Raw genomic sequence first — 13,266 nt, 5'->3', positions numbered from 1 at the left:
CTGGTCAGAAAAAATATTTGAAAATTCACAATTTATATTAATGTAATAAAGAATCTGAGAAATGCAGAAAAGAAATGGATTTCCCAAACATGCTAAGCTATGGGACCATTTCCTTAAATAATACAGCCTCGTACCATCCCTTTGGATTAACATACCTATATTTCCAAACACATTTTGGGAAATACTGATATATAGAGAAGGCTTTTGTTCTGAATAACAAATTTTATTGATTTCCAGGTGCTTTTGAAATACAGAGAACAGTGGTAAACAAAGAATTTGCCTCCAGTAGGAACTGGAAAACTAACAGTCCTAACCCCTGCTAATATCGACTTAGTCATAGGACAGAGGATGGGCTCAAGCTTACATCTGCTCTTTGAAACACGCTAAACAAATAATAGTTTAAATGAGACATTGCTGAGTAGGAAATGGCTAAATTACAGGTACCAATTTTTAAAAAGTGACGTCTCAATTTAGAAAATAAACAGGAAATAGTTTCTCTGTTTTCAAGAGAATTTCATTACATAGAAGCCTCTTAAGCAGAAGTTCCCTGGTATATTTACCTAGACTTCAACGTTTAAATTTGCAGCTTTTTTTTTTTTTTTTGGGACGAAGTCTCGCTCTGTCACCCAGGCTGGAGTGCAGTGGTGGGATCTCGGCTCACTGCAACCTCCACCTCCCAGGTTCAAGTAATTCTCATGCCTCAGCCTCTCGAGCAGCTGGAATTAACAGGCACATGCCATGACGCCTGGCTAATTTTTGTATTTTTAGTTAAGACAGGGTTGCACCATGTTGCCCAGGTTGGTCTTGAATTCCTGGCCTCAAGTGATCCACCCACCTCAGCCTCCCAAAGTGCTGGGATTACAGGGGTGAGCCATCACCCCCCAGCCAAGGGTTTTTTGTTTGCTGTTTGACAACTGAGAATAGAACTATTATTTCTCTGCTCTCTTGGAGTGGTCTCTCAGCGCTGTTAAGAGTCTACCAAGCGTAGTGACTCACATCTGTAATCCCAGCACTTTGGGAGGCCGAGGCGACTGGATCACCTGAGGTCAGGAGTTCGAGACTAGCCTGGCTAACATAGCAAAACCCCATCTCTACTGAAAATACAAAAATTTGCCAGGCATGGTGGCTCATGTCTGTAATCCCAGCACTTTGGGAGGCCGAGGCAGGCAGATCACGAGGTCAGGAGTTCAAGGCTAGCATGGTGGCTCATGTCTGTAATCCCAGCACTTTGGGAGGCCGAGGCAGGCAGATCACAAGGTCAGGAGTTCAAGGCTAGCATGGTGAAACCCCGTCTCTACTAAAAATACAAAAAATTAGCCATGCATGGTGGCATGCGCCTGTAATTCCAACTACTGGGAGGCTGAGGCAGGAGAATCATTTGACCTTGGGAGGCAGAGTTTGCAGTGAGCTGAGATAGTGCCACTGCACTCCAACCTGGAGTGAGAGACTGTCTCAAAACAAACAAACGAACAAACAACAACAACAACAAAAAAAAAAACGGCCAGGCGCAGTGGCTCACACCTGTAATCCCAGCACTTTGGGAGGCCAAAGCAGGTGGGTCACCTGAGGTCAGGAGTTCGAGACCAGCCTGGCCAACATGGTGAAACCCCGTCTCTACTGAAAATACAAAAACTAGCCAGGTGTGGTGGTGGACCCCTGTAATCCTAGCTACTCTAGAGGCTGAGGCAGGAGAATCACTTGAACCTGGGGGGCAGAGGTTGCAGTGAGCCGAGATCGCGCCACTTCAGTCTAGTCTGGGCGACAGTGAAACTCCATCTCAAAAAAAAAAAAAAAAGGGTCTACCGTTAGTGGACACCTTTAGTCTTCCAACGAGATACTTCCACCTCCCACCTTGTGGTTAAAAAATGCTTAACTTTGGGCTGGGTGCGGTGGCTCATGCCTGTAATCCCAACACTTTGGGAGGCAGAGGCAGGCGGATCATGAGGTCAGGAGTTCGAGACCAGCCTGGCCAATATAGTGAAACCCTGCCTCTATTAAAAATACAAAAATTAGCTGGGCATGGTGGCAGGCGCCTGAATTTCCAGCTACTCGGGAGGCTGAGGCAGGAGAATTGCTTGAACCCAGGAGGCAGAGGTTGCAGTGAGCCGAGATCATGCCACTACACTCCAGCCTGGGTGACAGAACGAGACTTCGTCCCCCCCAAAAAAACAAAAAGCTTAACTTTGAAGAGATTTGGTCTTCTCAGATGCCTCCTATAAAAAGAAACAAATGTGAGAAAAGGTAGAAAAGGCCTTTTTTGTAGGGAGCAATTTTTTCTAAAAAGGCTTTTCAGCCAAGACCCTCTCTCTTACAATTCTGACACCATATCAACTTTTAAGACTACTTTTTTCTTAGAATGCTTCTTTTTTGCCATTTATTGCACAAACAATAATTTGGGGGGGGACTTTAAAAAATCATAATCAGGCCAGGCACAGTGGCTCAATGCCTGTAATCCCAGCACTTTGGGAGGCCGAGGCAGGTGGACCACATGAGGTCAGGAATTCGAGACCAGCCTGGCCAACATGGCAAAACCCCATCTCCACTAAAAATGAAAAAATTAGCTGAAATAACACAGCTACTTGGGAGGCTAAAGCAGGAGAATCACTTGAACCCAGGAGGTGGAGGCTGCAGTGAGCCAAGATCACGCCATTGCACTCCACCCTGGGCAACAGAGCAAGACGCCATCTCAAAAAAACAAACAAAAAATCACAATCAGTGAGATTAATGTTTAATGAACATACTGTTATTTTTTATTTTTTTAAGAGACAAGTCTCCATCTGTCTCCTAAGCAGAGTGTAGTGGCGCAATCATAGCTCATTGTAACATTGGACTCCTGGGCTCAAGTGATCCTCCCACCTCAGTCTCCCATGCATGCCACCACAATTTTTTGGATACAGGGTGTCATTATGTTGCCCAGGCTGATCTCAAACTCCTGGCCTCAAGTGATCCTCCTTCCTTGGCCTCCCAAAGTGTTGAGATTACAGGCGTGAGTCACAGAGCCTGGCCCAGGATGTTATTTTAAAATTGTCTTTTTGTCTTCTAAATCAACAAGAACTTGATAGTTGCTTTCAATGCCAATCAACATCCTTTACTACTGTATACACAATGTATTTATTTGACATTTGAAAGGAGATACGGCTGGGCGCGGTGGCTCACGCCTGTAATCCCAGCACTTTGGGAGGCCGAGGCGGGCGGATCACAAGGTCAGGAGATCGAGACCATCTTGGCTAACACGGTGAAACCCCGTCTCTACTAAAAATACAAAAAATTAGCCAGGCGCGGTGGCGGGCGCCTGTAGTCCCAGCTACTCGGGAGGCTGAGGCAGGAGAATGGCGTGAACCTGGGAGGCGGAGCTTGCAGTGAGCCGAGATTGCGCCACTGCAATCCGGCCTGGGCTAAACAGCGGGACTCCGTCTCAAAAAAAAAAAAAAAAAAAGAAAGGAGATACAAAAGGATGTTACAACCTGCTATGGCAAGAAGATACAAAGGAACATATTGGTATGAACAGAATACCTCAGAGTTGAGTGTATAAAAAAGGCTTAATTCACCAGATGCAGTGGCTCGCACCTGTAATCCCAGCATTTTGAGAGGTCAAGGTCAAGACACGAGGATTGCTTGAGCCCAGGAGTTCAAGGCCAGCCTGGGCAACATAGCAGGACTCTGCCTCTAAAAAAAGTATATATATATATATAATGTACACACACATACATACATAAACACATATGTATTATATATATATATGTAATATATGTATATTATATATAATATATATATTAGCCAGGCATGGTGGCAACAGGCCTGTGTTCCCAGCTACTCAGGAGGCTGCAGTGAGTCATGTTTGCGCCACTATACTCCAGCCTGGGTGACAGAATGAGACCCTGTCTCAGCAAAAAACAAATAAAAAACTTCAAGGTGGAGTAGGGGTTAATTCAAGGCTACCTAAGCTGGATTTGGGGTGATTATGGTCGAGTGGATGCAAACAGAATATTAAACTTCCATTCATTAAAAGTGCTTACTACCTGCCAGACCCCATACTAGGCTCTATAGATTTATTGTCTCTAAGGTCACTAGGCGAGTAAGTACCAGATCTGTGACTTTGAACTTCCCACTACAATAAGCTTATGAACTTTGTTTAAGCAAAAAAGGTTTGAAAAGTGAAAAGCAAGCACCCATTTCATAGTGTTCTAAAAGTCTAAAATAATCCAGTAGAACATCAGAGATAAAATCCAAAAAGCAAGTTTTTCCCCCAATATTTAAATCAGGGAAGCAACATGATGGTATCTGTAAACTATAACTGAACCAAAAATAGGACCAAACGTAGTGAAATCCATTTAGGGAGATATTACTGTGATCTTGAAGGAAGGCCTACTTAATACAGGACAGTGGGCTGGGGAGGTGTGAACCAAAAATAGACACAGGCAAAAGCGCTAAAATTTAACCCTGAGAAATAAATGAAATTCACCTACAAAATAAATGGAATAAATTTAAAAGGTGAAATTTTGGGCTTGGCGTGGTGGCTTACACCTGTAATCTCAGCACTTTGGGAAGCCAAGACGGGCAGATCACTTGACCCCAGGAGTTTGAGACCAGCCTGGGCAACATGGTGAAACTGTCTCTACAAAAAATACAAAAATTAGGCCGGGCACGGTGGCTCACGCCTGTAATCCCAGTACTTTGGGAGGCCGAGGTGGGCGGATCATGAGGTCAGGAGTTCGAGACCAGCCTGGACAACATGCTGAAACCCCATCTCTACTAAAAATACAAAAAAAATTAGCCAGGTGTGGTTGGCGAGCACCTATAATTCCAGCTACTCAGGAGGCTGAGGCAGAATTGCTTGAACCTGGGAGGTGGAGGTTGCAATGAGCCGAGATTGCACCACTGCACTCCAGTCTGGGTGAAAGAGCAAGACTCTGTCTCAGGGCGGGTGGCAGCGGGGTCGGGGGAGGTGGGGGGAAGGTTAGCTGGACCTGGTGGCTTGCACCTGTGGTCCCCAGCTACTTGGGAGGCTGAGGTGGGAGGATTGCTTGAGCCCAGGAGGTTGAGGCTGTAGTGAGTCATGTTTGCAGCACTGCATTCCAGCCTGGGCGACAGAGCAAGACCGCATCTCAAAACAAAACAAACAAAAGGTGAAATTTTGGAATTAGGAAAGATGCTATTTTTATAAATTGGCTTTAAGCTGTTGGCTGGACATCTAAGTTGTAGCATTCTGAAGGCAGCAGAGATGTGGGATTGTAGGACTGAAACATGAAAATGCCTATCGAATTTTTTTTAAAGTCTTTAAAGGAGAGCTTTAAAGGAAAGCAATACGAATTCAAGTATGTTTCAGTACCACTCCTCTCTCTAAAGACAATCAACTATGGTTTTCATTCAAAATACTATTACTCTAACGTTAAATATTTGAGTACAGCAATCATTTCAGATGCATTATGAATAAGTTACTGAACACGCCTCCCATCTGCTTGCTTTACGGTTTTATTTTGCCTTTCGTTTGTTAGCTCATTTTATAATTTGTTACTTCTGAACACCTTCCAAGTGCTGGTGCTTTCAGATATCTACCTCAAAGTATTATTTGTAAATGTCAAAAAGTCCCTCTTACATATAATTGAAAGCTGGCTACATGGTAGACAATATGATCACAAACTTTTAAACAATTTTTTAAGCTGAAGAAATACTTTTTCTTTTTATAAGTATCAAATCAAAATGTAATTCAGCATCCACCCATAAAGCGCAACTAAAAACTTTTCACAATGCCATTAACAACTTGTGGTTACCATCATAAGCCTACAGACCTACACACTAATTATCTTTAAAACCCTTATTAGGCTGGGCGTGGCGGCTCACGCCTGTAATCACAGCACTTTGGGGGGCCAAGGCGGGCAGATCACTTGAGGTCAGGAGTTTGAGCCCAGCCTGGCCAACATAGTGAAACTTCATCTCTGCTAGAAATACAAAAATTAGCGGGGCGTGGTGACAGGGTGCTCTAACCCCAGCTACTTGGGAGGCTGAAGCAGAACCACTTGAACACAGCCAGGAGGCAGAGGTTGCAGTGAGCCAAGATTGCACCACTGTACTCCAGCCTGAGCCACAGAGCAAGACTCCGTCTCAAAAAATAAATAAAAATAAAATAAAACCCTTATTAAGGATTTAAAAAATCTTAATTATATAATGCCAAAAGCTAGTCCCCGTCTGGCTTAGGGGCCCACAAGCTCCTGCTTTAAAGCCAGTTTTTTTGTTTTTTTCTGATGTACTTACATTTGTGCCTCACAATCAAGAGGTTCCCAGCTTGGTGGAACTTTCAAAGATGAGGCAGAAAACTAAACAGGCAATTACAATCTTACTTTTCACGCTGACAAGTGGTACGGTGGCTAGCCCAAACTCCCCTCCCTGTCCCAGCTACCTCCCTTATAGACCATTCACGATCACTTAGGCCAGGCTGCCATGTGACCTAAGAGAAGACAGGGAGAACACAGCATTTCTTACTCCTACTAACTTGCAACATCATTCTCTCAAGTTGCTCTCATTGGAGGCTCCCAACTGCTTCAAGCTGCCCAGTGATATTTGTATTTCTAAAGTGGGCAGGCATGGCCATTCCAGAAAAAGAAACACATTCAGACTTGTGCCTTTTGTTACCCAAATATATGATATTCAAATAATTTCTATTTTAACAACTCATAAAAATTTAAGATCAAATAATTGCATTCTTGAAACAATTCTTAATCATTTATTTTCAACACGTGTACTATAAAGAACCTAAGAAATCAGACAATTTTAATAACCCATAAACATGTTGAATCCATTTGCAGATTTAAATTTTGTAAAAATAGCTGTCACTGCCTCCATATATCAAGTGTACTATGTTTATAATCACATTTATGCTACCGATACTCCTCAGAAAAAAACAGATTCTGCTTGGTTCTAGCTTCAGTATTATGAACTCCAATAATGCTTTGAGGACCTCCAAAGGAAAAAAACAGATTCTACTAGGTTCTAGCTGAAATATTATCAACTCCAAATTGAAGCTGAAGTATTATCAACTCCAAATAATGCTTCGAGGACCTCCAAAAAAAAGAGATTCTGCTTGGTTGTAGCTGAAGTATTATCAACTCCAAATAATGCTTGGAGGACCTCCACAGGTAAACTACTAATCCCTTTGGCCATTTATTGAGACAGACAGAGAGAGAGAGAGAGAGTTTTGAAGCAACAATGTACCATTAGTAAAGTTGCTGTGCAGAATTACCTCAGTCCTATTCTAAGCTTACAGTTCAGTTGATTTTATTGTCTTCACCTAAGTATATACAATTCACATATGGGAGAAAAACACTAAATCAAGATGGTTATTTTCACTGTTTTGCTTAAGATTCATATTTAAATATAAATCAAGAAGTTAATCCACAGTTTGAGAGATACTTATATTAGAAATTTTAAATGTTAAATACATAATTGTAAATATGGTGTATGTACTGTTTCACATACAATGGGTATTGATCAAATCAGTGTAATTAGCACACCCATCAGCTCAAATATCATTTATTTGTAGCAAGAACATTCAATACATTAACTATAGTCACCCTACTCTCTCTCTCTCTCTCTCTCAATAAATGGCCAAAGGGATTAGTACTTTTACCTTTGGAGGTCCTCAAAGCATTATTTGGAGTTCATAATACTTCAGCTAGAACTTATTCCTTCAAATTTAACTCTGTACCCATTAAAAGTGGTTTTGTGTGCAATTAACAGACACATGTTCTACCCATACATTGTTTTCCAAAATTATTGTGTGGCTTTAAAAAAAAAAAAACCCACACAACAAATTGCAAAAGGCACTGAGATAACATCTGCTTCTAGATCATTGCTAGGCTCGAAAAATAAAGCTTGTTCTACCAGGAATGACAAGTTAGAACTTAGTATTTGCCAAAGCAGAAATTATATAGTGTCAGTTATTTCAGGCAAACCTTATTCGGCTCTCATCCCCAACTATCTGTCAGAACAATTAAAAGAGATCAAAACAGTCCAGCATAACTAGGCTTCATTATATAAGGCCATTTTGTTCTAAGACACTAATAAACCAAAATAAGAAATATTAAAATCAAAATAAAAGATATTATTTGAGCTATTTTCATACAAACTGTTGGTTCCTTATATCCTCCCTTCTATAATAAAGGGCATATTTTACTGCAAAGAAAATTTTACTTTATATATATCACTAGCCATAAATTTTTGAATGTCATTAATTACATGTTGTCTAGTACCATTAACCAAATAGCGTAACTATTTTATGTCCACATTTCACTTCTGTATTTACAAACATATCAGTAAAGAGTTAACAATGAGATGCGATCAAACATCCATATTATCTGTTTTGTAGACAGCAATGTAGATGATTTTGTAATCACCTTTCATCGGAGTGACCTTATATAAAAAATAAGTCAATAATTTAGAGGTTCTAAGTCTCCAAAGGAGATTTTCAAATGTAAATATAGAAATGGTTATAGATAATGAGATTTTTAGGAAACCTCTGCCATGTCTGCATCCTGTTAACTGTTATATCATCTTTTCTTCCAGCTGCGTTCCTTTGCCTGCAACAGGGGTCAAGATGAGTTTTGCCTGACTTCTTTGATGTCCTGAACTTTCCGTAGTCCTTTTTCTTGAATTTGTTCATTATAAATATAGCTTGGCATTTGTTTGATCTTTTCAACTGTCTTCACTGCATCAGTAGTTTTATTCCATAGTTCTTGCAGATATTTGACAGGCTTGTTACTATATTTTTCAAATTCAAATCCACTGTAAGCTCATTATTAGCAGTTGCTTTACAGAATGCTTTAGTCCACCTAACCTTTTGAGAATTGCACTTCTTTTAAAGTTTTTGTGACATTTATGTTTATACAATCTGAACACCTTGCAACAGCTGCAGATGAACATCATGATGTGGTCAGGGTAGATGGGTCCCAAAGAAACTAACACTTCTCAGTGCTGAGCTCGGATGGGCCTCCACTGACCAAACACGGAGCTTGAGAGGAAGTCAAGAGGTATCTTGGAATTCCACATGCTGACCCTGTCATTCTTGAAGGAAAATGATGCATAATTTCTGAATAATTCAGAAAGAACTTAACAATCTTTCCAGTTAGTTTTTAAATAACAATTCTGTTTATCAAATTTCTGAATTAACTTTTCTGAATTCACGGGTTTCTAAAACTGGCCTTAAGCAAAAGTCTGAAACCTAGGCTGGGAACCATGTAACCCAGGCCAAGAAGGTACTTTAAAGTGTCTTAGAGTTGTTTTTCAACTTAGGGGGAAACAACAGATTCCATTAAATCCCATAAAGGATTTTTTTGTGTGTGAAAAAGGGCCTGATGTAATCTAGGTTAGACTCAGGAGGCTTTAACAAGTTTTGTCTTACGGGTAAATGGTGGCTATTTTCACAGATAACATCATTACTCCCATCCCTTACTATGGTTTATACAAAAGAGGCTGGAGAATAAGTACATTTTTACAGCCGGGTGTGGTGGCTAACGCCTGTAATCCTACTTAGCACTTTGCGAGGCCAAGACAGGAGGATCTCTTGAGCCCAGGAGTTCGAGACCAGCCTGGGCAACACAGGGAGACCCTGTCTCTATTGTTAAATCAAGAAAACCTAAAAAACATTTTCATTTACATAGCACCAAATATAAGAGCCTTTTTTTTTTTAACCTAGAAAGAGTATTTTGGAGAGAGAAACTAAGGATCAGAAGGTTTAAGAGTATCAAAAATCTGAGGCCAGGTGCCTCACATCTGTAATCCCAGCATTTTGGGAGGCTGAGGTGAGTAGATCACTTGAGTTTAGGAGTTCAAGATCAGCCTGGCTAACATGGTGAAACCCTGTCTTTACTAAAAATACAAAAAAATCAGCTGGTATGGTGGTACATGCCTGTAATCCCAGTTACTTGGAAGGCTGAGGCAGGAGAATAGCTTGAACCCAGAAGGCGGAAGTTGCAGTGAGCCGAGATCACTCCACTGCACTCTAGCATGGGTGATGGAGCAAGACTCTGTCTCAAAAAAAAAAAAAAAAAAAAAAAAAAAGAGTATCTAAAATTTAAATACTAATTCTTGGCTGGACATGGTGGCTCACATCTGCAATCCCAGCACTTCGGGAGGCCGAGGCGGGTGACCTCACTTGAGGTCAGGAGTTCGTGACCAGCCTGGCCAACATGGTGAAACCCTATCTCTACTAAAAATACAAAAATTAGCTGGGCATGGTGGTGCATGCCTGTAATCCCAGCTGCTCCAGAGGCTGAGCCAGGAGAATGGCTTGAACCCGGGAAGCGGAGACTGCTAGATCATGACACTGCACTCCAGCCTGGGCGACAGAGAGACTCATCTCAAAACAAACAAACAAACAAACAAACAAAAAAACAAAAAACTAAATCTTTCACACATTTTCTCTTTATATCAAAGGTACTAAGTGACATTTAGGCCGGACGCGGTGGCTCATGCCTGTAATCCCAGCACTTTGGGAGGCCGAGGTGGGCGGATCACGAGGTCAGGAGATCGAGACCATCCTGGCTAACACGGTGAAACCCTGTCTCTACTAAAAGTACAAAAAATTAGCCAGGTGTGGTGGCAGATGACTGTAGGCCAAGCTAATTGGGAGGCTGAGGCAGGAGAATGGTGCGAACCCGGGAGGCAGAGCTTGCAGTGAGCCAAGATCACGCCACTGCACTCCAGCCTGGGTAACAGAGCAAGACTCGGTCTCAAAAAAAATAATAAGTTACATTTAAATGTCATATACATATTTAAGAAAAAAAAAAACCAAGTACTTCTCATTTAAGACAGAGTAGAAATTATTTAAAATTAGGAGTTGGTGTAAAGGATGAGCTACATATTCAAGTCAAATTATAGTAAGTATTCACTATTCCACTACCAAAGTAGGTCAATTATACTAAAGAGAAGAAATCTATGTGAATTGAGGCATTTTCTCACTTTGATATATGTGAATAAATTTCAGGTTGTCTAAATTCCTAGGGTTATATAGTTAGAAATATATAATTCTCTTATAGACAGGTCAACTAGGGGAAATAAGTTAGCACAATCATTTGAATTGGTTGTCTACATACTGGGCAGGGCTTATTCCTTTTCTTTAGCTTCTTTGCACATGTAAAGCAGGCCATAAGATGTCCTGTTTTGCCATGGACAATGCAACCATTTTTAGGTCGACCTTGACAAATCACACAAGGTTCAATGGCATTAAGGGGCAAACTAGATTCCACACTCTCTTCTTTGTCTTGGGTTTCTTCCCTTTCAAACTCTTTCACATCTTCTTGGCTGCTATAAATAATGCTACTAGAAGTTGATGGCTGAGAATAGTCTTCACTTTCTTGTGATTGTGAAGCTTGTGTAATTTTATCATCATTTTCCTCAACACATGACTCTCTGGAATCATTCACTATAGTTTTTTTACAATCAGGAACATCAAAGCCCTCTTCAGCTTGTGTTGAGTTTTCCAGTTTGGCTTTCTCAGAGATTTCCCCTTTATCTTTCCCTTTATCTTCAGGAAGCCAATTCTCACGAAGGGCCCAACATCTGTTGCAATGTGATGGAAGGGGGGGATTCATTTCATTGCATGAAGTGCATTTCCAATAGTCCTTCAATGAAATAAGACACACAGTCAGTTTCTGTAACCCTTTAACTGCTCAGTCACAGGAATGCTAGCAACTTTGCTATGTCTAAGGTAAAGTATATCATAGGGCTCAATATTCAGTGTTTCATGTTTTATATAAAATAGTCACTGTAAACAGCATGAGGACTATAGTTAGTTATATATTGGTATACTGGAAATTTACTAAAAGAATAGATTTTAGGTATTTTAACCATACACACAAGAAAGGTTAACTATTCAAGATAATGGATTACATTAATTTGCTTGACTGTAGTGATCATTTCACTATTTACATGTGTGTCAAAACATCACGTTATATGTCTCAATTATACACAAAACAGATTTTTAAAGGTCAATATGTAACAGTCTCTCCTAAAGTAGAGTAAGTACACCCATTTTTTTCACCCTTACCATCCTGAAAAATTCTAAACTAAAAATATATTAACTGTGATGTGATATTAATCATGTACCTATAAAGTTATCTGTTTCAGGATACAAATGCAGTTGCTTCCTTTAGTTGAAGCAAGTCTATGGGATCTTTTACTCTGTCATGCAGCCTATATCCACTCCCTTAAAGGCTCAACCCTAGGCGCTATTCCAAGAGTCCATCCCATCAATCTAGATGAAACCTGCCTCCTCGAGAAAGACTTCCTAATCCACCAGTGACTAGAACTACCTTAGAAGTACTCTAAAACCATGGCTTAACTGAGTATTCCCTAACTCCATCCACAAGAGAAATGCTAAAACATTTTTCACAGCAAGTATTGCTGCTAAAACCTATCATCCTTGGTCACTAACCGTAATATCCTTTCCTTTACCTGTCTATCCTTTCCTGTGTTCTCATCTTTGTAACTGCTCAATGCTTCTTCCTTTTCCCAACGTTTTATCCCACAAACCTTTCCACCATGCAATTTGGATAACAAACTCTCCCACATCCCCAGCCTTTTTACATAACCTATCTTCTTGCCTTAGCTGAAGCATGGTTCTTGCCTGAGGACATTTAACAAGTGAAAACTCTTAAGTAAGAGGTATTTCCGTAACCATTTTGAGATTGCCTCACAAATGATGTTAAGACAGGAGCAATAAAGATAGACTATTCATTCTTCTTTTTTCAAGTTATAGAAGGGGGTTTTTCACAGCTCATAAAACCAAAGAAAAAGGTCTTGCAATATGGGAGTAAAAGTGCATCAAAAAGTCCAATAAATTCCAAGATGAATATCTAAAATAATTTGAGTCTTAAAATAGATTTAAAAAATTAAAAGTATCTAAAATATTTTACTCAACTTGACATCAAATGATTCAATTAGTTATTTATTTTCTAATACAGTAAAAATTTTGGAAACTCTTGAATTTTCATCCTTTTTTGCACTTGAATAATTAGTAACTGTCTATAACTCAGAAAAAATGGAATTTATTTCCTATTCAAATATAATAAAGGCAATATTAAGAACAAAAACTAAAGCACAATAGTTTTAAAAAAACCTATAATACCTCAGGAACTCAGTGAAGTATGCATGAGATGTAAACATTTAAGTGTTAATTTCTTTAATGGCAAATCCTACCACATTCTATAATACAAATCAGTAATAAAAATGTTTACATTTGGCTGGGTGTGATGGCTCACACCTGTAATCCTT

The 13,266-nt window shown here is 40.1% G+C and overlaps 2 protein-coding genes across 13 annotated transcripts in view; one reads left to right on the top strand and one right to left on the bottom strand.

The window, feature by feature from the left end:
• Nucleotides 1-8,692, top strand: part of CPM (carboxypeptidase M) — a 121,273-nt gene extending 112,581 nt beyond the window's left edge. For all 6 annotated transcript variants that reach the window (XR_001748580.3, NR_182142.1, XR_001748577.3 and 3 more), the window contains one exon: nt 8,560-8,692. The gene's annotated coding sequence lies outside the window, so the exon portion shown is untranslated. The remainder of the gene's footprint in view (nt 1-8,559) is intronic.
• MDM2 (MDM2 proto-oncogene) overlaps nt 203-13,266 on the bottom strand; it is a 42,515-nt gene continuing 29,451 nt past the window's right edge. For 3 of the 7 annotated variants that reach the window (NM_001145337.3, NM_001278462.2, NM_001145340.3), the window contains one exon: nt 203-11,615. In NM_001145337.3, the coding sequence (NP_001138809.1) occupies nt 11,040-11,615 (576 nt within the window). In that variant the 3' untranslated portion in view covers nt 203-11,039. The remainder of the gene's footprint in view (nt 11,616-13,266) is intronic. The other 4 variants (NM_001145339.2, NM_002392.6, XM_047428853.1 and 1 more) reach the window with 2 other exon arrangements.

Source organism: Homo sapiens, chromosome 12 (assembly GCF_000001405.40).
Source record: "Homo sapiens chromosome 12, GRCh38.p14 Primary Assembly".
In the NCBI taxonomy this organism is placed as follows: Eukaryota; Metazoa; Chordata; class Mammalia; order Primates; family Hominidae; genus Homo; species Homo sapiens.
This window is presented reverse-complemented; position numbering and strand designations above follow the sequence as displayed.